Raw genomic sequence first — 22,562 nt, 5'->3', positions numbered from 1 at the left:
TAGATTGTAGCATCCTGCATGTAAACACTGAGAACAACTTCCAGCACTTGAATATCCACTCCTTCCCCCACCCACATACTGGCAGAATTCATGTTGGGAGACTACATTTACTATGAAAATACACCCCTCATTTGAAACAAGACTAGGATACACAGTAAAGAATGTTTATTCACTAAAATTTTGACAGACTGAAGGCCATTATTGCAGATTGGAAATAGGAAATTTAAAAGAACTACACGGACATTGAGTAAAATAACATGGGTTGAAATTTGCCTGGCAGTAGCCTAAAAGTAAATGGTCTTCAAGGTGCATATGAAGGAACTGTAGGAGGGAAATGGGATAATTAATTATTAATTATTAAATGTAACTAGTAATTAATAACTAATAATTAAATGTAGCCACACTAGCTTGGGGGATTTGAGGTGAGACATCTAAAATACTAAGTCATGGTGAGGGCTGGAAGACAAAAGAATGAATCACTTCATAGGAATGGCTGTGGGGAAGGGCTTGAAGGAATCATCCTCTGACTTCCATGTGAACCATGAACATTAAACATGGAGAAATGAGGAGCGGCGGCAGATCGGTTTGGGATGCATCTTCAGGGGATGCTGAAACAACAACCGCATTTGGTTTCCTCTACATCCCTGTCACCCCTCCCCCACAAGCCCAAGGAGTGGTCAGCAGTGGGGCTTTGTGATGTCAAAGCCACCTTAGGACCGCCATTGGCTGGGACACTGCCTGTATGATCAAACAAAGCTCAAGGGTGTGGCTTTGCCTTGTCACCAGGAGGGTATATATAGGGAGGGCAAGAGCTCTGGGACATCCCACTGGGAAGCTTCAACATAGCTGTGGAAGTCTGCAGTCTACAGGAGCCTACTATAGACATTCTACAACCAACCAGAATCATGGAACAGCCAACTTCCAGCACCAATGGGGAGAAGACGAAGAGCCCCTGTGAATCCAATAACAAAAAAAATGATGAGGTAAGATTGTCAGGTTTTGAAGGGAAGGTGAGGGTGAAAGAAAGACACACAGAGAGGGGGTGGCTCAAACAGCAACACAGGAATACTGCAGACACCTGTGGAAGTGGGGGACCCGCTTAATGCCAGAGCCCACCGCTGCTTACAGGCTGGGGTGCTTGTAGGTAGGGGTGGGAGGGGCCTGGGCAGTATGGCTTGCTGCCCGGCAGGATATTGATAAGATGTTTTTATGATCAGGCTGTTTGGTCCTTTTTCCAGTGGGATGTCATTGTGGTGTATCTTGAAACTTTGCCCAGCAAGATATGATAGGAAAGTTTCTTTAGTTGGACCTTTGTCCGTCTTGTGTTACGACGATTAGGCAAGATTTTTCTCATGGCCCGAACCCCCGTGGAATGTTTCACTTTGACCAAGGTCTGAAAAATAGCAGGGTGCTTACTAAATGGTGGTTTGGACTCACATTCTTGCCTTCTACTTTAGTATAAAAGGAAGAGGGGCATTGTTGATTATCTGGCTGCTTCCTGCCGAATAGGGGAGCTGTAATCAGGGTTTGGGTTTTGAAGCAGTGGGTGTTGGACTTCAGAGTTGTTTTCCTGGAGGCACTGGTACTGGACTTGGCAGAGGAGAAGGATGGTATCAATGTGTTGCTGGGTGGCCGCCTGGACAGGGGAGTTTAGCCTTCGGGAGATAAAGCGGGATATGAAGGTAAATATACATGGGCCAATTGTAGTATTAGGAGGAGGAAAATTAAGGGTCCTAAGAAAGGGGCCCCCTGCTATCTCAGTGCTGACTGCAGCAGAGATGTTTACTTCTGCTAACACTAGAATGAGATGTAGAGCCTGCTTAGTGTGTGTGGAGGAAGATGAGACAGAAGCTACTAAAGGAACCTGGATGGTCTGCTTGTTAGGCAAAATGTTAATGTTTAGGCTGAAACACCAGGGTGTATGTTCCTGACCATTTGGCCAGTAGGCAGAGATAAGAGTTTGTGGCACAAAAGAAGAAGACACTGGGGGTGGACAGACAAAAGTTGTAGGTTATGGTGGCAAGCCATGAGAAGGTGGGTGTTGAATTCTGCAGAAATTCTTTGTTTTAACTTTTATATTTTTCCAAGTTGAATAGCTGCCAGCAAGGGTAGCCCCTCTGACGGCCTGATAGGAAATGTTGGTGGTGGAGGAGATGGAGGCTGTTTGGTTTTGGAAAGAGAGGGGGAAATGGGTTTTTGTAACTAATAGCCATTGTAGCCCTGACAGGGCAGAAGGATATAGGTTGCACTTGAGGGAATTGTTTGTGCATGTTTTCCAGCGAGCGCCCTTGAGTTGGATAATATGAAGAGCGGCTCCAGCCAAGAGGGGAGGGGTTTCTAAAAGGTGTTTTATGGAATCCGTTTGTAACATATTCAGTTAAGAGGCTATGAGGCGAGGGAGGGTGACAGCCCTGTATGTGATGGTGTGGGTGGATTTGATGGATTGGGGGAAAAAGAGTTTAGCTGATCAAGATTATAAACAGGTTTGGGAATGAACTGGTCAAGTAGGTGAGATGCAGGCTTATTTTGGACCGAGTTCATGTGGCCAGGTTGACAGGAAGGGCTGTGAATTGCTGGATTTGTGTGGACAAACAAGTTTAACAGTTGGAAGGAAGAGGGGAGTGTGACTGATTTAAGAGGAAAGGTGTGAGGCTGATGAAGGGGGCTCAACTGTCAGAGGTTGGGGGTGGGGACTTAGAGTATCCCACAGACAAAGAGGACAAAAGAAGAAAGAGGAGATTTGAGTAGGAGTGAAATTTTGGAAGGTGCCCTGCAGTCATACCTCCTGGATTAGTATGACGAATTGGCATGGACTATTCAGGGACATGGGGAAGGGTAGCCAGGAAAGATCTGAAATAAAGTAGGAGATAAAAGATTGGAAATTGGAGACAGAGAGTGTTATGGACTAAGGTGTTCTGGATTGGCAACTTCTGGAATTCTTGTTAAGTACAGTGAGGTTGGTCCTGTCGGGGAAGGAGAATAATATGGGGGTGAGGAAATTTCTAGATGTGGGTCTGGTGCTCTTTTTAGTTTGGAATGGTGTATTCAGTGTGGAAAGGATGTTAGCTTTGCCCCAGTCGGAGTAGTTAGGATAACCTGGTGGGAACATTTCCGCTTAGGTTGGAAAGGGGAGGAGGAGGAGTCTGTGATTCAGACCCAGTCCCCTGGTTGTAGGGACAGGGCGGAGTATTTTGAGGATGGACTTTTAGGCTGGGTCAAGTAAGCATTTGTGTACTGTCTTATTAGATGTTGGGTGAGGTGTAACGCCGGCCAAGTATTCCATATAGAATGGGGGGAAAATACAGGGAGATTCTGGAGGATAAAAGGGCATTTGTACATGAGTTTAAATGGGCTTAGGCTGAGGAGCTTTTGGGAAATGACTCATAAATGCATGAGGAACAATGGGAGAAGTGAAGTCCAGGCCATTTTAACCTTTAGGGAAGATTGGTCAGTTGCTGTTTTCTAAAAAAGTTTCCCTGAAGATTCGGGGTGGTAAGGAATATGCAAAGCCAATTTAATGTTTACAGCCTTTACCAGCTGTTGGTTAAACTGTGAAACAAATTGGCCCGTTGTCTGACTGGATGCAAGAGGGGAGTTTAAACCGGTGGATAATATGGGTGAAGAGAATAGAAGCAATGGTCTGTGCCTTTTCGGTGGTGGTGGGAAAAGCTTTTATCCATCCAGAGAATGTATCTACTATTGTCAGAAGGTATAGGAATCACTTTCTGGGGGACATGTGAGTGACGTTGATTTGCTAGTCCTGCCCTGGTAAGTGTCCTCAGACCTTGTGTGTTGGAAAGGAGGTGGTTTGATAGCTTCCTGAGGGGAAGTTTGAGTGCAAAGGGAACATGCCTTAGTAATATATTTCAGATTGGCAGCCATGGCAGAAGAATGTATATAATTTTCTAAAAGCTGGAGTAGGGGCAGTAAGCAGCATGGAAATGGTTGTGCACATATGAAAGTACAGAAGGTTTTTTAAACTTGGACAAGACACTTTATCACTGAGATCAAACAATTTTTTCCTGAATGGCACCAGCCCGGGCAAGTGGGGTTCATTCCTTCTGGGTATATACAGGAAAAAATGAGCAATAACGATGGGGTTTTAAGGGCTGCCTGCCAGGCTGCCAAATTTGTTGAAAGGTTTCTCTCGGTTATGGCATCTTTAGACTTTCGGCACCCCTTGCAATGGATAATGGTGGCCTTTGGTGGTAGTTTATCCACCCCCAGCAGCTTATGTATAAGTTTGCCATTTCTTATGGGAGTTCCTTTTGTAGTTAGGAAACCCTGTTCCTGCCAGATGAAGGCATGAGACTGTAGGACATGGTATGCATATTTGGAATGGGTGTAAATGTTGACCCTCTTTCCCTTTGCTAGGGTGAGGGCCCTGGTTAGGGCAACTAGCTTAGGCTGTTGAGAGGTAGCATGGGGTGGCAGAGCATTGGATTCTAGGAGTTTATTTTCAGCAATGATGGAATAGCCAGCTGCTGGACATGGCTCCCTAAAAGAGCTTCCATTAACTAACCGTGTATGTGTTCCCTGCAAAGGGGCATGTGAAATGTGTTGGAAGGAGGAGGAGAGGGAGTCTAAGAGGTCCAGACAGGAGTGAGAGAGCCTAGAATCGGAAGTGTTTACAGGGAGGAGGGTGGCTGGGTTGAGAGTTTTATATCTCTGGAAGGGGATTAGAGGGCTACCTAGGAATAAGGCATGTACCTGTTATAAGCAGGATGGTAGGAGGGATAGAAGGGATTGATGGTTTATGAGGTCCTGTAGGTAATGGGAAGATGCAATAGTAATGTGTTGGTAAAGAGGGAGTTTCCGTGCCTCTAAGGCCAGCGATGTGGCCACAGCCAAGATTTTTAGTCAGAGTGACCAGCCTTGGTCACACAAAACAACAGAGTCCAGTTGTTTTGAGAGAAGTGCAGTGGCTTGTGTGGCGTTGCCGTATGTTTGGCAGAGTAGTCCAAGGGCAAGGCCCTGGTCAGAATGTACATACAAAGTAACGGGCTTGGTGAGGTTGGGCAGTCCCTGTGCCAGGGCCATTAAAAGGGCATTTTTAAGTTTTTAAGTGGGAGTTGATGGGGCAAGCTGGGTTTAGGGGTTTTAGGATGGGCCCATGTGAGGCCCTGTTTAGTGGCTTGGCCAGCAAGTCAAAATTGGGAACTGACAGCCAGAAGTAACCCACAAGGCCCGAGAAGGAGAGAAGGTACTTTTTTGTGTGAGGAAAGGGCATGTCCCAAATTAGCTCCTTTCATTGGGTTGGGATGGCTCGAGAATTAGGGGTTAGGACAAACCCAAGGTAAGTAACTTTGGTTTGGGCTACCTGAAATATTGTGGGCTAGGCCCAAACTTTGGTTTGGGCTACCTGAGATTTCCTCTATTATGGAGGAAGTTTAAAACCTAAGTGGTGTGTTGGATGGACAGGTTAAGGAAGGGGCTACAGAGAAGGAGTTTGACATGTTGCAGGAGGGTGCTAGCAGCAAGGGAAAGTTCACCTAGGTCCTTGATGAGGGCAAGTCTGAATAGGTGGGGGCTATCCTGGAACCCCTGTAAGAGTACAGTCCACTCTAGTTGGGTGCACATGTGAGTATTAGGACTTGACCAAGTTAAAGCAAAAAGACTTCTGTAAGCCGGATTTAAGGGAATGGTGAAATAGGCATCTTTCAGTTCCAATACAGAGGAGTGTGTAGTAGATTTAGGAATATGGGAGAGTAGAGCATATTGGTTGAGGACCACTAGATGTATTGGTACCACTGCCTGGTCAACAACTTGGAGATCCTGGACAAAGGGGTAAGTCCCGTCTGTCTTTTGGAAAGCCAGAATAGGGGTGTTCTGGGGAGAGTTAACAGGCTTGAGAATATGAGCTTGTTAAAGTTTACAAATAATAGGTTTGAGGCCCCTAAGCACGGCTGGATTAAGGGGATATTGAGACTGAAAAAAGAAAATGGAGGAGTTTTGAAAGGTTATTTTAACTGGGATGTGATGTGTGGCTATTGTGGGTTTAGAAACATTCCAAGCTTTAGAATTAACAGAAGGTAACAGGGTGGATAATGAGGATGAGTAGGGGGAGAGGGAAGCGTTTGGGTGTCGGAGTAAAATAAAAGGGGTAGAATTGTAGGAGCCGCATTGCATGGAGGCCTGGAATTTACTTAATATGTCCCACCCCAAGATAGGGGTAGGGGACTGAGGGATAACCAGGAAACAGTGGGTGAAGGGGGCTGTTGAATAGGTTGCATAATAAAGGACGAGTCTGTGCCTAGAGGGGATTTTATTGATTCTCACAATAGAGATCGAAGAACAGAAAAAGGGTCTAGAATATTCTGGTAAAACCGAGTAACTAGTTGTCGTATTGAGTATCCAATAGGAAAGACATGGACTTACTAGAGACTGACAGAATTACCCTGGGTTCCGAGGTGGTGATGGCAGTAGGGGTGGTGGACTCTAGGCCCCACCTGTCTTCAGGTACAGGTGGTGAAGCTAGATGAAGAGTTTCACTGAGCACAGTCTGACTTCCAGTGTTGCTTGATATCACAGATGGGGCAAGGCTTCCAGAGTGTCACGGGATTAGGCCAGGCTTTTGCTCAGTGTCCCTGTTGGATGCACTTATAACAGGCTCCTGGAGTTGACTGTTGCCAAGTTGAGGAATTCTGTATGCCTTGGGAACCCTGTTGAGTGGCAGCTATCAGCATTTGATATTTAGCCTGGCCCTTTTTTAGGTTTGGGTTTTTTAGTTCTTCCTCTCTAATCTTATAGACCTTAAAGGCCACTTTGATTAAGTCTCTTTGGAGGTTTGAGGGCCATCCTCCACTTTTTAAAGTTTTTTTTCAAATGTCTGGGGCTGACTGGGAGATAAAGTGTAAATGGAGGTAGATTTTGCCCTTAATGGTATTAGGGCTTAAGGTGGCATATTTAGTTGTGACCTTTGAAAAGGCGGGAGAGGAAAAGAGCAGGGGCGACTTTATTTATGCCAGCTAGAAGGCATGATATCATATGGCCTGGTTTCTGCCTGTCTACAGAAGTTGCCTGATAATTCCGATTGAGGTCAGTTCTGGGGACAGCTAGGGTCCCTACTGGGTTATGAGCAGCATCTTGTTGGTGGAGGGTGTTCTCATGGACCTGGGCACCCGTAAATATGTGTTCCCTGTCCTCCAGGGTGAGGGTAGAGGAGAGGATGACATATATGTCATGCCAGGTAAGGTCATAAGATTTAGGGAAGTACAGACATTCCTTGAGGAAGGAGGTAGGATCCATTGAAAAGGAGCAAAGTCTCTTTTCAGTATGGGAGAAGTCAGCTAGGGAACTTGAATTCAGATTATGCCTTCAGTCCTTGCAACCTCCTGCAAGGGAAAGACTTTGGAAGGCCTTTGGGCATGTGTCTGGTTTTCGGCAAAAGAGCGTTGGGCGTGAGACCTGGTTTGAGGTGGAGAAGGAAGGGGGATGGAGGGTGACAGTAAGGGGGTGGAGGAGCCGGATCCGAAGGAGAAGGTGGAGGGAATGGGAGAGGGCAGGAGCCAGACGAAGGGGTTTGTTGGCCAGGTTGAAATTCAGAGGAGGAAGGCTTGTCCCGAGGAGGAGGCATTTTGGGGGGTTTCTCCTTGAGGAGGAAGATTTGAAAAGGTGAACAAGATTGGCAGGAGAGTGAGTGAGGCATGAGCGGAGATAAGCAAAGCACTTCAGATCATTTACCATTGTGTTGGAGAAAGATTTTTAGATGATGTTGAATTTGAAAGTTGAATGTTTTGTTTTTTAGAAGAGGGGAGTGAATACTCTGGATGGGAGTGAATACTCTGGGGAAAGTGAGTACCCCAGAAGGGAGTGAATACCCCAGAGGGGAGTGAGTTCTCCAGAGGGAAGTGAATACCCCAGAGGAAAGTGAGTACTGGATTCCACCTGGGAGAAGGGACCTGGAGAGTTGGGACAGCCCCATAGCTATTCATGCTCCCCAGAGGACGGAGCGGCCAGAATGGCAAGTGTTCTGAGGCTGTCCCCTGAGAAGGGAGGCTGCAGTCACCTGGTGACTGGGGAGACCTCTCACCCAGCACTGGAATTTTTTTGGAGAACAAGCAGAAATAGAAAGGAATCCAGAAAGGAAGAATAGGGAGACTCACCCACGAATTGAAGCCCAGTGTTGGATGTGATGTCCAGCAATGGGGGTGATCCTGGTTGCAGCTGCTTGGGAAGGGGAAGGAAGGAAAAATAAGATGGAGAGTTTGATCAATATCTGGAGGTTAGTCCAGGGCTGGAGAAGATGAGAGAATAGGGGAAACAGGACTGGGAACAGACAGTCCACTCAGGATCTGGAAGTAGGCCCCGGTCTAGTTTGTGCTGCTTGCTGCTTTCTGCTTTCCAGGTTGCAAGAGAAAACTTACCCATTAGAACCCAATCACCGTCCTGGGTTTTGGCACCAAAGTGTTAGGTTTTGAAGGGAAGATGAGGGTGAAAGAAAGACAGACAGAGAGGGTGCATCTCAAACAACAACACAGGAATATTGCAGACACCTGTGGAAGTGGGGGACCAGCTTAATGCCAGAGCCCACTGCCGCTTATAGCCTGGGGTACTTACAGGTATGGGTGGGAGGGAGCTGGGCAGTATGGCTTGCTGCCCAGGAGGATATTGATAAGATGTTCTTATGATCAGGTGGTTTGGCCCTTTTTCCAGTGGAATATCATTGTGGTGTTCCTTTGCAGCTGCCTGGAAAGGGGAATGAAGGAAAAATAAGATGGAGAGTTTAATCAATATCTGGAGGTTAGCCCAGGGCTGGAGAAGATGAAAGAATAAGGGGAACAGGACTTATGATAGGGATGTTTCTTTAGTTGAGCCTTTGTCCACCTTGTGGTCAGGTGGTTAGGCAGGATGTTGCTCATGGCCTGAACCCCCATGGAATGTTTCACTTTGACCAAGGTCTGCAACATAGCAAAAACTTACAAAATCATGCAGTTTGGACTAACAGGTGACTCTACCCATGCTCCTCTTCTTCTTCTGCATAGATACCTACCCTATGATTTCACCTTGTTCTTCTCTGGCACACACCCCTTCCTCCACCTGCATTCCTTCTCATAAAGCCCCCCTTGCTATCTAGTCTCTATCCTATTCACCCAAAATAATGTCTTTCTGGCCTCTCCCTATTTTCTTACCAGATGCAAGAGGTACCAAACAGAGTCTTAGCCCCCGAACAGAGTTTGAAGAACACAAAAACATCAGAATATCCAATAATATTTGTGTATTACCTCAGGAAGGGTAAGAAAATAAATTCAAATCAACTGGAGAATGAACAGTCCCAAGAGAACTCCATCAATCCAATCCAAAAGGAGGAGGACGAAGGCGTAGACTTATCTGAAGGATCTTCAAATGAGGATGAAGACCTAGGCCCATGTGAAGGACCTTCAAAGGAGGACAAAGATCTAGACTCATCTGAAGGATCCTCACAGGAGGATGAAGACCTAGGCTTATCTGAAGGATCTTCACAGGACAGTGGGGAGGATTAGTCACACATGGAGAAACCAAATTGGACAAATCATCACCACTGATGGCGATGATTACAATAAAATCAAGTTTAAGGAGCTGATGACTGTGTTTATCTCTGCCTGTTGTCTGGTGTGGGGTGGGGAAGGGAAGGGAAGAGGTAGGCATTTGAGAAGGGAGGGATATGAGGTCCTGTAGGTTGGGAGACGGACCCACAGGTTGACAGTTAGCCAGACATTGCAAATAAGGACTGGCGGAGGACTGATTCCTCAGACAAATTTTCTTCTTAAAATTTTGTCTTACAGGAGAGGAAGAAAAGGACATGGTGTTTCTTGGAGCATGTGATTGTGTAGAAGGGTGTACAAAAAGATCTGTATTCGCTGGGCATGGTGGCTCATGCCTCTAATCCCAGCACTTTGGGAGGCTGAGACTGGCAGTCACCTGAGGTCAGGAGTTTGAGACCAGCATGGGCCAACATGGTGAACCCCTGTCTCTACTAAAAAATATATAAAAATTAGCCAGGCATGGTGTCAGGCACCTGTAATCCCAGCTACTTGAAGGCCAAGGCAGGAGAATCGCTTGAACCCAGGAGGTGGAAGTTGCAGTGAGCCGAGATCACGCCACTGCACTCCAGCCTGGGGGATAGAGCAAGGCTCTGTTTCCAAAATAACAAAAATTAAATAAAATAAAACAAAATAAAATGACCTGGATTGTATTTAGGTGACAGTGACACTCTTTCCAAAATGAAGACATCAAAATCACCACCTCCAGGCCACATACATCATAGTGGCATGGGTTATGACTCATCCAATGCTGTGAGCAACTGAAGCCCCTCAAACGGATCAAAAACCTCACCCTACATAAAGTAAGACATCATGTCACACACACTAAAATAATGGTGCTTGGAGGCCATGGTCCCAATACTAGGGCATTTCCTTGTTAAGAAACTCTAGGTGGAGCAGTAGCCTACCAAGTGTGGGGCACTGGGAGTGGCCATTGTCTACTGCAGGCAATCAATGAAAGCATAGTCTACAGAGAATTTGCATACAATGATACAAACAAAAGTTGGTATTTTTATTGCCACTTCCATACACCTGCATTTCTATAGAATGTCAATGACTAGGAATTCTTCCCTTGAAAAAAAATACTGTTTTTATTGAAGGGAATACAATAGAGTGGTTTTGGCATCAAGTTTAGAGGGCTGAGTTACATTCTTTGTGTTAATTTCCAAGACCCTCTCCTGTTTATTTATTCATTCACTCTCCTTTATTTCCACGACCCAGTTTTATTTCTCTTGTCTACATTGGCAATTATTGTAATGCATTTGATGTGTATCCTTTTCTCTGTATGAGTGTTAATAAACATTTCTTATTGCTTGTGGACATTTGTTTTCAATTTATGTATGCATTGTCAATATTTAATGTTTCACTCAGGCCTGTTTTTAAGATGCATCTATGTATATAAAATCTGTTCTTCCCTTGTAAATGGATTTATCAGGTACATTTTTGTATTTTGTAAATTTTAGAAAGATATTTTGATATTTAATATTTGTAACCACCTTCTGGTCCATGTTTTGTTTAATTTATACCTTAGTATTACATTTTCTTTCGAGTGACTGTAAATGGTATCATGTGTTTAATTTTGATTTCCACATGTTCAATGTTAGTATATAGAAGTGTGATGCATTTTTTATTTTTATTTTTTAAAAAAACTTATTGTGTCTATTTGAGGTTTACAACATGATATTATAGGATACATAAAGTAAAATGGTTACTATGGTGAAGCAGATTAGCATATCTCTCTTCTTAGTTTTTAAGTGTGTGACAATAGCAGCTAAAATCTACTTATTTAACAAAAATTCATGACACAATTTCATCAGGTTTAGTCCCCCTGTACATTAGATCTCTATACTTTTACATCCTACATATCTGCTATTTTGTGTCCTTTGACCTACTTCTCCCCACTTCTTCTCCCACCTCCAATGTTTCATTCTCTACCTCTGTCTACTTGAGCCCCTTATTTATATAGTCCACATATGAGATCATCGAATCTTTTTCTTTCTGTCTGGATTAATTAACTTATCGTGATGTCCTCCAGGTTCATCCATGTTGTGGCAAATGCCAAGACCTCTTTACTGTAAGGCTGAATAATATTTAGTTCTGTATAACTATGTATAACTACACACACACACACACACACACACACACACACACACACCAAATTTTAAAATCCATTTATCCATTGATGCACATTTTAAGCTGTTTCCATATCTTGGCTATTGGGAATAATGCTACAATGAACATGAGAGTGCATATATCTATATGAGGCTGTGATTTCATCTCATTTGGGTGTCTACCCAGAAGAAGGATTGCTGGGCCATGTGGTAGTTACTTGTTAATTCTTTTAGATACCTCCATATTGTTTTACATTATGGTTATACCAATCTACGTTTCCACCAACAGTGTACTGGGGTTCTTTTTTTCTCCACACCCTCATCAACATTTGTTACTTATTGTCTTTTTGAAAATAGCCATCTTAACAAGCATGAAGTGATATAGTGGTTTTAATAGGCATTTCTCTTATGATTAATGATGTTGAATGCCTTTTAATATATCTGTTAGCATGCCATTGTAAGAAGTAATATGAAGAGATACCAATGTATCTTTTACTCAGTTTCCTCACATGATAAGACCTTGCAAATGCATAGTGCAACATCGCAACCAGAAAACTGACATTAATACACTCAATCTATCCAGAGTTCACCAGTTTTACATGTGCTCATGGGTGTGTGTTTAGTTATATTCAGTTTTATCATATGCCTAGATTCAAGGGACAACGACCATAATTAGAGTACAGAAGAGTTTCATCAACACAAAAGATCTCTCATGTTGTCCTTTAATAGCCACTGCCAACCTTCCTCTCAAGTTCATAACCCCTAGCCACCACTATTCCCCACCTATATAATTTTGTCATTTTCAGAGTGTTACGTGAATCTTTCAGTATGTAACCTTTTGGAATTGGCGTGTTAGTCTGTTCTTGCCTTGCTATAAAGAAATACCTGAAGTTGAGTAATGCATAAAGAAAAGAGGTTTAATTGGCTCACAATTCTGTAGGCTGTACGGGAATTGGTGCCAGCATCTGCTTCTGGTTATGGTCTCAGGAAGCTTACAGTTATGGCAGGTGAAGGGAAAGCAGACACCTCCAACATTGGGAATTACATTTCAAAATAAAATTTGGAGGGGACAAACATCCAAACCATATCAATTATTGTTTTTTTCACTCATCATAAGTATTTGAGGGTTCATTCATGTTGTTGCATATATCAATAGTTTATTCTTTTATATTCCTGAGTGTGATATTACATTGTATAAATGTACCAGTTTGCTTAATCTTTCTGCCAGGTGAAGGACATCTGGGCTGTTTCTAGTTTTTGGCTATTACAAATAAAGCTGTTATAATCATTCCCCTGCAGGATTTCTCTGTAATAATTACCCAGATTATGGGTAGTATGGTAGTTGCCCTATTTGGTTGTGTAAGAAAATTCCAACTTTCTAATGTGGCTGTATCATTTACATTCCCACCAGCAATGCATGCATGATCCAGTTTCTTTGCATCTACATCAGCATTTGGTTTTGTCACTTTTAAAAAGCTTAGCCTTTCTGAAAGTTGTGTACTGACATCTAATTGTAGTCTTAATTGGATTTTTCCTGATGGCTAATGATGTTAAATATATTTTTATGTACTTATTTGTCATCCATATATTCTCAGCCCTCTCTTTGACAGATTCATGACAATGGGTTAGAACACAGATGTTGACAATATATGTATTAAGTCTGAAAATGACACAAAGATTAGAAGATTTTTCTAATAACAAGATTTAAATGCAGTAAGAGTTTAAACAGGCTAGACTGTGGACCACTTGAACTATGATTTTAATCAGACAAGAAAAATTTACTAGATAGCATTGGCATTCTGTGATCTTGGAATCCCAAAACTAACATCTTGTGAATAGAACGAGAGACATTTGGTTTAACAGTAGTATCAAAAAATCTACTTAGAGGTTTTCAATTGACAGCGAATAGATTGTGACCTAAGAATGTGAAAATACTAGCTCAGAAGCTACTAGTATCTTTGAGTAAATTCCATGGACATGTAACTAAAGCAAGAGGTGACTTTCTCTTTCTGTCCTGTGTTGATCAGACTACACTTGAAGAAGTAGTTCCAGTTGTGGACCTTTAAGAGGAAGACAGACAAATTAAATAGTCACTTGAGGAAGGAAGAAATCTGAGTGATGTTGAGACTCGAAATGGTGTTGTGGGGCAAATGACGAAAATAACTGTATCAGGTATCGTTCTGATGGGAAACAGTCTGTTTCAGTGGGACTCAGGGCAATGCTTATGCTGATAAGGTAACTAAAAAAGCAGCTAGCATTCCAACTTCTGTCCCTCACGGCCAGTTTTTCTCCTCATCGGTCACTCCCACCTACTCCCCCACTGAAACTTCCACCTATCAATCTCTTCCCACACAAGGCAAATGGTTCTTGGACCAAGGAAAACAGCTCCTTCCAGCCTCACAGGCCCATTCTATTCTGTCGTCATTTCATAACCTCTTCCATGTAGGTTACAAGCCGCTAGCCCGTGTCTTAGAACCTCTCATTTCCTTTCCATCATGGAAATCTATCCTCAAATAAATCACTTCTCAGTGTTCCATCTGCTATTCTACTACTCCTCAGGGATTATTCAGGCCCCCTCCCTTCCCTACTCATCAAGCTCAGGGATTTGGCCCTGCCCAGGACTGGCAAATTAATTTTACTCACATGCCTCAAGTCAGGAAACTAAAATACCTCTTGGTCTAGGTAGACACTTTCACTGGATGGGTAAAGCCCTTTCCCACAGGGTCTGAGAAGTCCACTGCAGTCATTTCTTCCCCTCTGTCAGACATAATTCCTCAGTTTGGCCTTCCCACCTCTATACAGTCCAATAACAGACCGGCCTTTACTAGTCAAATCACCCAAGCAGTTTCTTAGGCTCTTGGTATTCAGTGGAACCTTCATACCCCTTACCGTCCTCAATCTTCAGGAAAAGTAGAACAGACTCATGGTCTTTTAAAGACACACCTCAGTAAGCTCAGCCTCCAACTTAAAAAGGACTGGACAGTACTTTTACCACTTGCCCTTCTCAGAATTCAGGCCTATCCTCGGAATGCTACAGGGTACAGCCCATTTAAGCTCCTGTATGAATGCTCCTTTTTATTAGGCCCCAGTCTCATTCCAGACACCAGCCCAACTTGGACTGCACCCCAAAAACTTGTCATCCCTGCTATCTTCTGTCTAGTCATACTCCTATTCACCATGCTCAACTACTCATAAATGCCCTGCTCTTGTTTACACTGCCAGTTTACACTGTTTCTCCAAGCCATCACAGCTAATATCTCCTGGTGCTATCCCCAAATGGCCACTCTTAACTCCCTCTTAAAGTAAATAAATAGTCTTTGCTGGCAGGGCACCCTCCAATATTTTCATCCTGATAAAGTCCTTTTCTTTACTTTTATACTCACTCTTATTCTCGTTCCCGTTCTTATGCCACCCTCTACCTTTCCCCAGCTATCTCCACCACACTATCAATGTCACTCACTCTCACCTAGCCATTTCTAATCCTTCTTTAACAAACAATTGCTGGCTTTGCATTTCTCTTTCCTCCACAATCGCTGAGGCCTAGACTTACTCACTGCTAAAAAAAAAGAGAACTCTATATTTTTAAATGAAGAGTGTTGTTTTTACCTAAATTAATCTGGCCTGGTATATAACAACATAAAAAAACTCAAGGATAGAGCCCAAAAATTTGCCAACCAAGCAAGTAATTATGCTGAACCCCCTTGGACACTTTCTAATTGGATGTCCTGGGTCCTCCCAATTCTTAGTCCTTTAATACCTGTTTTTCTCCTTCTCTTATTCGGACCTTGTGTCTTCCATTTAGTTTCTCAACTCATCCAAAACGTATCCAGGCCATCACCAATCATTCTATACAACAAATGCTCCTTCTAATAACCCCACAATATCGCCCCTTACCACAAAATCTTCCTTCAGCTTAATCTCTCTCACTCTAGGTTCCCATACCGCCCCTAATCCCGCTCGAAGCAGCCCTGAGAAACATCGCCCATTATCTCTCCATACCACCCCCCAAAAATTTTCACTGCCCCAACACTTCAACACTATTTTATGTTATTTTTCTTATTAATATAAGAAGACAGGAATCTCAGGCCTCTGAGCCCAGGCTAAGCCATCATATCCCCTGTGACCTGCAGGTATACATCTAGATGGCCTGAAGCAAGTGAAGAATCACAAAAGAAGTGAAAATGGCCCGTTCCTGCCTTAACTGATGACATTACCTTGTGAAATTCCTTTTTCTGACTCAGAAGCTCCCCCACTGAGCACCTTGTGACCCCGCCCCTGCCTGCCAGAGAACGACCCCCTTTGACTGTAACTTTCCATTACCTACCCAAATCCTGTAAAACAGCCCCACCCCTATCTCCCTTTGCTGACTCTCTTTTCGGACTCAGCCCACCTGCACCCAGGTGATTAAAAAGCTTTATTGCTCACACAAAGCCTGTTTGGTGGTCTCTTCACATGGACGTGCGTGACACTTACTAATACAGTCCATGGTTTATATGAGTCAGATTTTTAGCAGCACAAAGCAGAGTGAAGAAGAGTGGAGAACGGATCTGGTGAAACAAATGGACGATATATTAAGAACACTGAACTCAGAGAAGCGAAAGCCTCAGGAGAGATCACACTGTCTTTCTTCAACTCTCTGATATGGTGTCATGTGGAATCAGGCCAGACTTACACTTTTTGAGTGTCATACCTATGATTAGTAGGACCACAGTAGGGAACTTAGGGGAAAGTGGCATAAACTCCCTTAGGCAGTTGATGTGGATGTGTTTGTCCTGGAAATGCTGTTTACAAAATGATCAACTGTAATTTTGCTCTTTTGGAGCTCAGAAAACAATACCCCAAAATGAAGAACTCAGGAGCAAAAGTCTTTCTCTACTCTTCTCCCACCCTCCTGTCTCTCAGTCTCATTCTCCCCCAAGGCTAGCTATAGAAACTAGGATCCTTCTTCCCTAAGGTGTGTCATAGAAACCAAAACATATTTTCCCCAAAGGCAGCAATAAAACCTAAAAATATTACTCTAATTTTCACTCCACCTTTCTGTGTAAAAACTGACCATAAAGAAATTGTCTGATCTACCTTATTTGACTGTAGGTCAGAAGGCCCCCATTTCAGAGGGGTCCCTGCCCCACACCCAGAAGGAAGAATACTGCTCAAAGAAGCCAAGAATAATCTAGACATACAGGCCTTTCTGTGTTTCCCCATTCAGTTCATTAGTATTAGTTTATAGCCTTTTTGTCCAACCCTATTTCTGCACCTCTGTCCATACTTCTTCCTTAAAACTAGGCATAAAATGCACAATTTCCCCTGTATCTTTGGGTCTTCATTCTGCAGGCTCACATGTACAACCATTAAATAAATCCGTATACCTCTTCTGCTATCAATCTGCCTTTTGTCAGTGATTTTTAGTGAGTCCTCAGAGGGCCTTGCCCCCTACAGCTCTTCCTGTGGGTGCAAATATCTCACCATGCCTGTCACTCTTTATATCAAAATGTTGAATACTTGCTACTATATTTCCCTGGCGTAAAGCAGAAAGTTGTTGTGTTTTTGAAGCTTGATATCACTTGGAAAATAAGAGTTATATTATTTAAAAGCTTGAACAGTGGCAAGGATGTGTGGTAGCTTGACTGTTAATTTCCTGGAAGTTCAGACTTGACCTTGTTTGCTGTGGTATCATCTGGAAATAGCACGGAGCCTGTCACACAATAGGCAATTAGTAAATATTTGCTGAATGATGGCACAAGCGTGGAAAGTAAAGTGTAGCATGGTCATGAAAAAAAAGACTGATAGTGACTCATAAAATGTTCTAGCCCCAGCTGTGGTTATAACTAAAAATATAACCTTGAGCTTGTTAAAGAAACACCCTTTAAAGGTGATGTCCAATTATCTAATTCCATGAATTCAGATTTAATCACTAAATGTTTGGGTCTATGTATCACATTAATCTAAGTGCAAATATATCCAAAGTATCCAAGATAATGGAATGAATCTCCCTAGCTGAAATTTTAATAGAATGTTGAGGCTGATATCTACTCTAAAAAAAGTTGAGGCTGATATCTACTAAAAATAAAAACTTCTATGCATAGACAGTAGATATAATTATCTGAATTACATTATTATTTTCATCTTACACAACCTTAATTTTTTTCGTGAGTTTTATTTTAGATACGGGGGTACACATGCAGGTTTGTTTCATGAATATATTGCACTCAAGAAGTGATTCTAGTACCCAATAGGTAGTTTTTTCACACATGCTCTCTTCCCTCCCTCCCCCGTCTTGCAGCTTACAGTGTCTATTGCTTCTACATTTATGTCCATTTGTGCTCAATATTTAGCTACTGTTAATAAACGAGAACATCTGGTATTTGGTTTTCTGTTTCTACATTAATTCACTTAAGATTATGGCCTCCAACTCCATCCATGTTGTTGCAAAGGACATATTCCATTGTTTTTTATGGCTGCATATAATTCCGTGGTGTATATGTACCACATTTTATTTATCCAATCCAGCTATTGATGGGCACCTAGATTGACTCCATGCATTTGCTACTGTGAATAGTTTGGTGGTGAGCACACATGTGCATGTGTCTTTTGATATAATGATGTATTTTCCTTTGAGTATACATCCAGTAAGGGGATTACTGGGTCAAATTGTAGCTCTATTTTAAGTTCCTTGAGCAACAGCTTAATTTTTAAAAGATATCCAAAGATAATTTTACTTTAGTAAACTTTAAATCAGTGCACATTTGGGTGGGCGCAGTGGCTCACACCTGTAATTCCAACACTTTGGGGGACTGGGGTGGTCATATTGGTGAGGCCAGGAGTTCAAGAGCAGCCTGGGCAACATGGCAAAACCCAATCTCTACCAAAAATCCAAAAAAAAAAAAAAAAAAAAATAGCCAGGCATGGTGGTGTGTGCCTGTGGTCTCAGCTACTTGGGAGGCTGAGGCAGGAAAATTGAGCCCAAAGGGCGGAGGTTGCAGTGAGCCAAGATTGTGCCACTGCACTCCAACTGGGTAACAGAGTGAGACCCTGTCTCAAAAAAAATTAAATAAAATAATGCACAATAAAGGAAGAATATTCCTTTGCATTGAAATGCTTTACTAAATGTGAATAACACTATTAATAATACTAATAATATTTAACATTTTCAAATAATTATCTCTAACATTTATTTAGCATTCACTAAATATCAAGCACTTCATATGCATGAGGTAATTTAACCCTCACAAGCAGCTTATGATTCTGGTAGTTTGGCTATCAGCATCCTTAGGGAATGAGGAATGGAGGCCACATAGCAAGCAGGGAAATAGAGATTCAAACCCAGGCAGTCTTGAATAAAGAGGTTGAATTCATATCCACTCACTATAAATATTATCTCTTGACTTTTCCTCAGAAAGCTCAGAGTAAATGCACATTTTCTGTTACATAAATTCAAAGATACCATGACTGCATATTAACATGGTTTGGTTCTGTGTTCCCACCCACATCTCATCTTGAATTGTAATCCAAATTGTAATACCCACATGTTGGGAGAGGGACCTCATGGGAGTTAATTGGATCATGGGGGACATTTCCCCATGTTGTTCTGGTGATAGCGAGTGAGTTCTCACAAGATCTGATAGTTTTATAAGGGACTCTTCCCTCTTTCCTCATTCTTCTCTCTCCTGCAACCATGTGAAGAATGTCATTGCTTCCTCTTCACCTTCTGCCGTAATTGTTAAGTTTCCTTAAGACTCCCCAGCCATGTGGAATTGTGAGTCAATTAGACATCCTTTCTTTACAAATTACCCAATTTCAGGTGTTTCTTTATAGCAGTGTGAGAATGAACTAATACAGTAAATCGGTACTGCAGAGAGTGAGGCACTGCTATAAAGATACCCAAAAATGTGGAAGTGACTTTGGAACAGGCAGAGGTTGGAATAGTTTGAAGGACTCAGAAGACAGGAAGATGTGGAAAAGTTTGGAACTTCCTAGACACCTGTTGAATTGTGTTGACCAAAATACTGATAGTGACATGGATAATGAAGTCCAGGCTGAGGTGGTCTCAGATACAGATGAAAAACTTATTGGGAACTGGAGCAAAGGTCAGTCTTGCTATGCTTTAGCAAAGACACTGGCAACATTGTGCCCCTGCCCTACAGACCTGTGGAACTTTGAACTTGAGACAGATAATGTGACATTGGAACTTAAGTTTAAAAGGGAAGCAGAGAATAAAAGTTTGAAAATTAGCAGCCAGATGATGCAATAGAAAAGAAAAACCCATTTTCTGGGGAGAAATTCAAGCCAGCTGCAAAAATTTGCATAAATAACAAGGAGCTGAACTTTAATCTCCAAGAAAATGGGGAAAAGATCTCCACGGCATGTCAGAGGTTTTCATGGTAGCCCCTCCCATCAAAGGGCTGGAAGCCTAGGAGAAAAAAAAAAATGGTTTCCTGGGCCGGGCCCAGGGCCTTGCTGCTTGGTGCACTCTCAGGACTTGGGGCCTTGCATTCTAGCTGTGACAAAAAGGGGCCAATATACAGCTCAGGCTGTTGCTTCAGAGGATGCAAGTCCCAAGCCTTGGCAGCTTCCATGTGGTGTTGGTCCTTCCAGTGCACAGAAGTCAACAATTGAGGCTTGGGAACGTCTACCTTGATTTCAGAAGATGTATGGAAACTCCTGGATGTCCAGGCAGAAGTCTGCTGCAGGGGTGGAGCCCTCATGGAGAACCTCTGCTAGGGAAGTACAGAAAAGAAAAGTGGGGTTGGAGCCCCCACACAGATTCCCCACTGGGGCACTTCCTGGTGGAGCTGTGAGAAGAAGGCCACCATCTTCCAGACTTCAGAATGGTGGATCCATCAACAGCTTGCACCTTGTGCCTGGAAAAGCTGCAGGCACTCAATACCAACCTATGAAAGCTGCTGGGAGGGGGCTGTACCCTGCAAAGCCACATGAATGGAGCTGCCCAAGACTGTGGGAGCCCACCTCTTGCATCAGCTTGCCCAGGATATGAGACATGGACTAAGGAGATCATTTCAGAGCTTTAAGATTTAATGACTGCCTCGCTGGATTTTGGACTTGCATGGGGCTGTAGCCCCTTTGTTTTGACCCATTTGTCCCATTTTGAACAGGTGCATTTATCCAATGCCTGCACCCTCATTATATCTTGGAAGTAACTAACTTGCTTTTGATTTTACAAGTTTATAGGTGGAAGAGACTTGGACTTTTGGATTAATGCTGAAATAAGTGAAGACTTTGTGGGGGTATTGGGAAGAGATAATTGTGTTTTGAAATGTGAGCAGGATGAGATATGGGAGGGGCTAGGGCAGAATAATATGATCCGGCTCTGCATAATCACCAAAATCTTGTGTTGAATTGTAATCGAAATTGTAATTCCCACATGTTAAGGGAGAGACCTGGTGGGAGGTGATCGAATCTTGGGGGTGGTTCCTTATGCTATTCTGGTGATAGTGAGTAAGTTCTCATGAGATCTGGTAATTTTATAAGGGTCTCTTCCCCCTTTTCTGATTCATCTCTCTCCTGCTACCATGTGAAGAATGTCCTTGATTCCCCTTCACCTTCATCCATGATTGTTAAGTTGTCTGAGCCCTCCCCAGCCATATGGAACTGTGAGTCAATTAAACCTCCTTTGTTTATAAATTACCCAGTCTTGGGTATTACTTTATAGCAGTGTGAGAACAGACTAATACAAATACTTTAGTTTTAGGGCCTGCGTTGCAGCAATTTACCTTTTACTGCACTGACATCTAACAACACTTTAACTAATGCATTTCTGATATTGCTTAGAAGAATGTACATGCATTTGAAAAATTCTATTGTAGAATGTAGCAGCTGGGTTGAGAACAGTTACCACAAACAGATAGACATGACTATAAACTAATATAGCACTAGTTCTGTAAATTAACAATGTGCACCTGGGTCAACTTGTGGCATGCTCTCCAACTTATGACATAGAACACAGGGGAAGCTTTAGTCATCACAAGGGTTGTATGTCTTCCAGTCTGCATGCTCTCATATGTGGGATTAATTTGCTTTTGATCATTTCTCTGAAAAAGATATTTTTAAATTTAAGGAATATTATTTATTTCCTGTATACTTTTTGGTGTTTTGTTTGTTATTTGGTGTTTAGTTGGAAAAACAAATGCTTTTTTATTGGTGTTTGGGAAAATGAAAGCTTTCTTTTAAGTTTTTTAGGAAAAACAAGACGGTTAATTCAGTCAGCACTCAACACTTGAAGAGCTAGTATTAAATCAAGTATTTTTTAAAATTTATATCAATAATAATGGTATTAAATTTTCATTGTCTGTTCCTAATGACCTGTGATAACATTTTAGGGCCCCAATGTATTACTTCTACATAAACTTAACTGCAAACACAAGGAAGATCAAAATAGACGTAGAGGATATTTAGCCTTTGGATCTCAAACCCTACACAAGAAAAGATGCTGAAAAATCTAAACGTTTTCTTCTCCCTTCAGTTTCTTTCTTTTCAGTAATATTCTCTATTTAAGTAAAGATATGTTTCACATAGGATATCGTAGTACCATATTTACCAACTAAACCTATTGAGTCTGGCACACTTGGGATCACATCTTTGAGCAAATATCTGAGAGCTGATTTTCTTATCTGTATAAATTAGGCTACTAGTTCTAATTGTTTTTCCCTCTGAGGATTAAATGAAATAAAAAAAATTCTTCTCCATTTCTTAATTGCTAATGGAAGCAATGGCTAGAAAATTCCTTCTTGCATGTTAATTGTGCAAAAAAGAATGGGAATTGTTTCGTTTCTCATTAAAAAATTATCGTGGGCAAAGGACATGTTACGAAGTTATAGCTGAAAGAATCAGGTGTACCTGCAAAGTGGCTGTATGACTACTACAGATTTACAGACCCCCAAATGTATTCACGCCTAGAGAGTAGATGCTCCCTTTT

At 42.3% G+C, this 22,562-nt stretch overlaps 1 protein-coding gene across 2 annotated transcripts; it reads left to right on the top strand.

The window, feature by feature from the left end:
* Window positions 1-821: 821 nt before the first annotated feature.
* SPANXN3 (SPANX family member N3) lies at window positions 822-9,562 on the top strand. 2 transcript variants are annotated; one of them, NM_001009609.4, is made up of 2 exons: window positions 822-983; window positions 9,135-9,562. In NM_001009609.4, exons 1-2 carry the CDS (start codon window positions 906-908, stop codon window positions 9,480-9,482), a joined length of 426 nt encoding a protein of 141 aa, NP_001009609.2. In that variant the 5' UTR covers window positions 822-905; the 3' UTR covers window positions 9,483-9,562. The 2 variants fall into 2 exon arrangements, with proteins under 2 accessions (NP_001009609.2, XP_016884753.1); XM_017029264.2 differs by lacking the exon at window positions 822-983 and adding an exon at window positions 1,403-1,682.
* Window positions 9,563-22,562: the final 13,000 nt, after the last annotated feature.

The sequence above is a fragment of the Homo sapiens genome, chromosome X (assembly GCF_000001405.40).
Source record: "Homo sapiens chromosome X, GRCh38.p14 Primary Assembly".
In the NCBI taxonomy this organism is placed as follows: Eukaryota; Metazoa; Chordata; class Mammalia; order Primates; family Hominidae; genus Homo; species Homo sapiens.
This window is presented reverse-complemented; position numbering and strand designations above follow the sequence as displayed.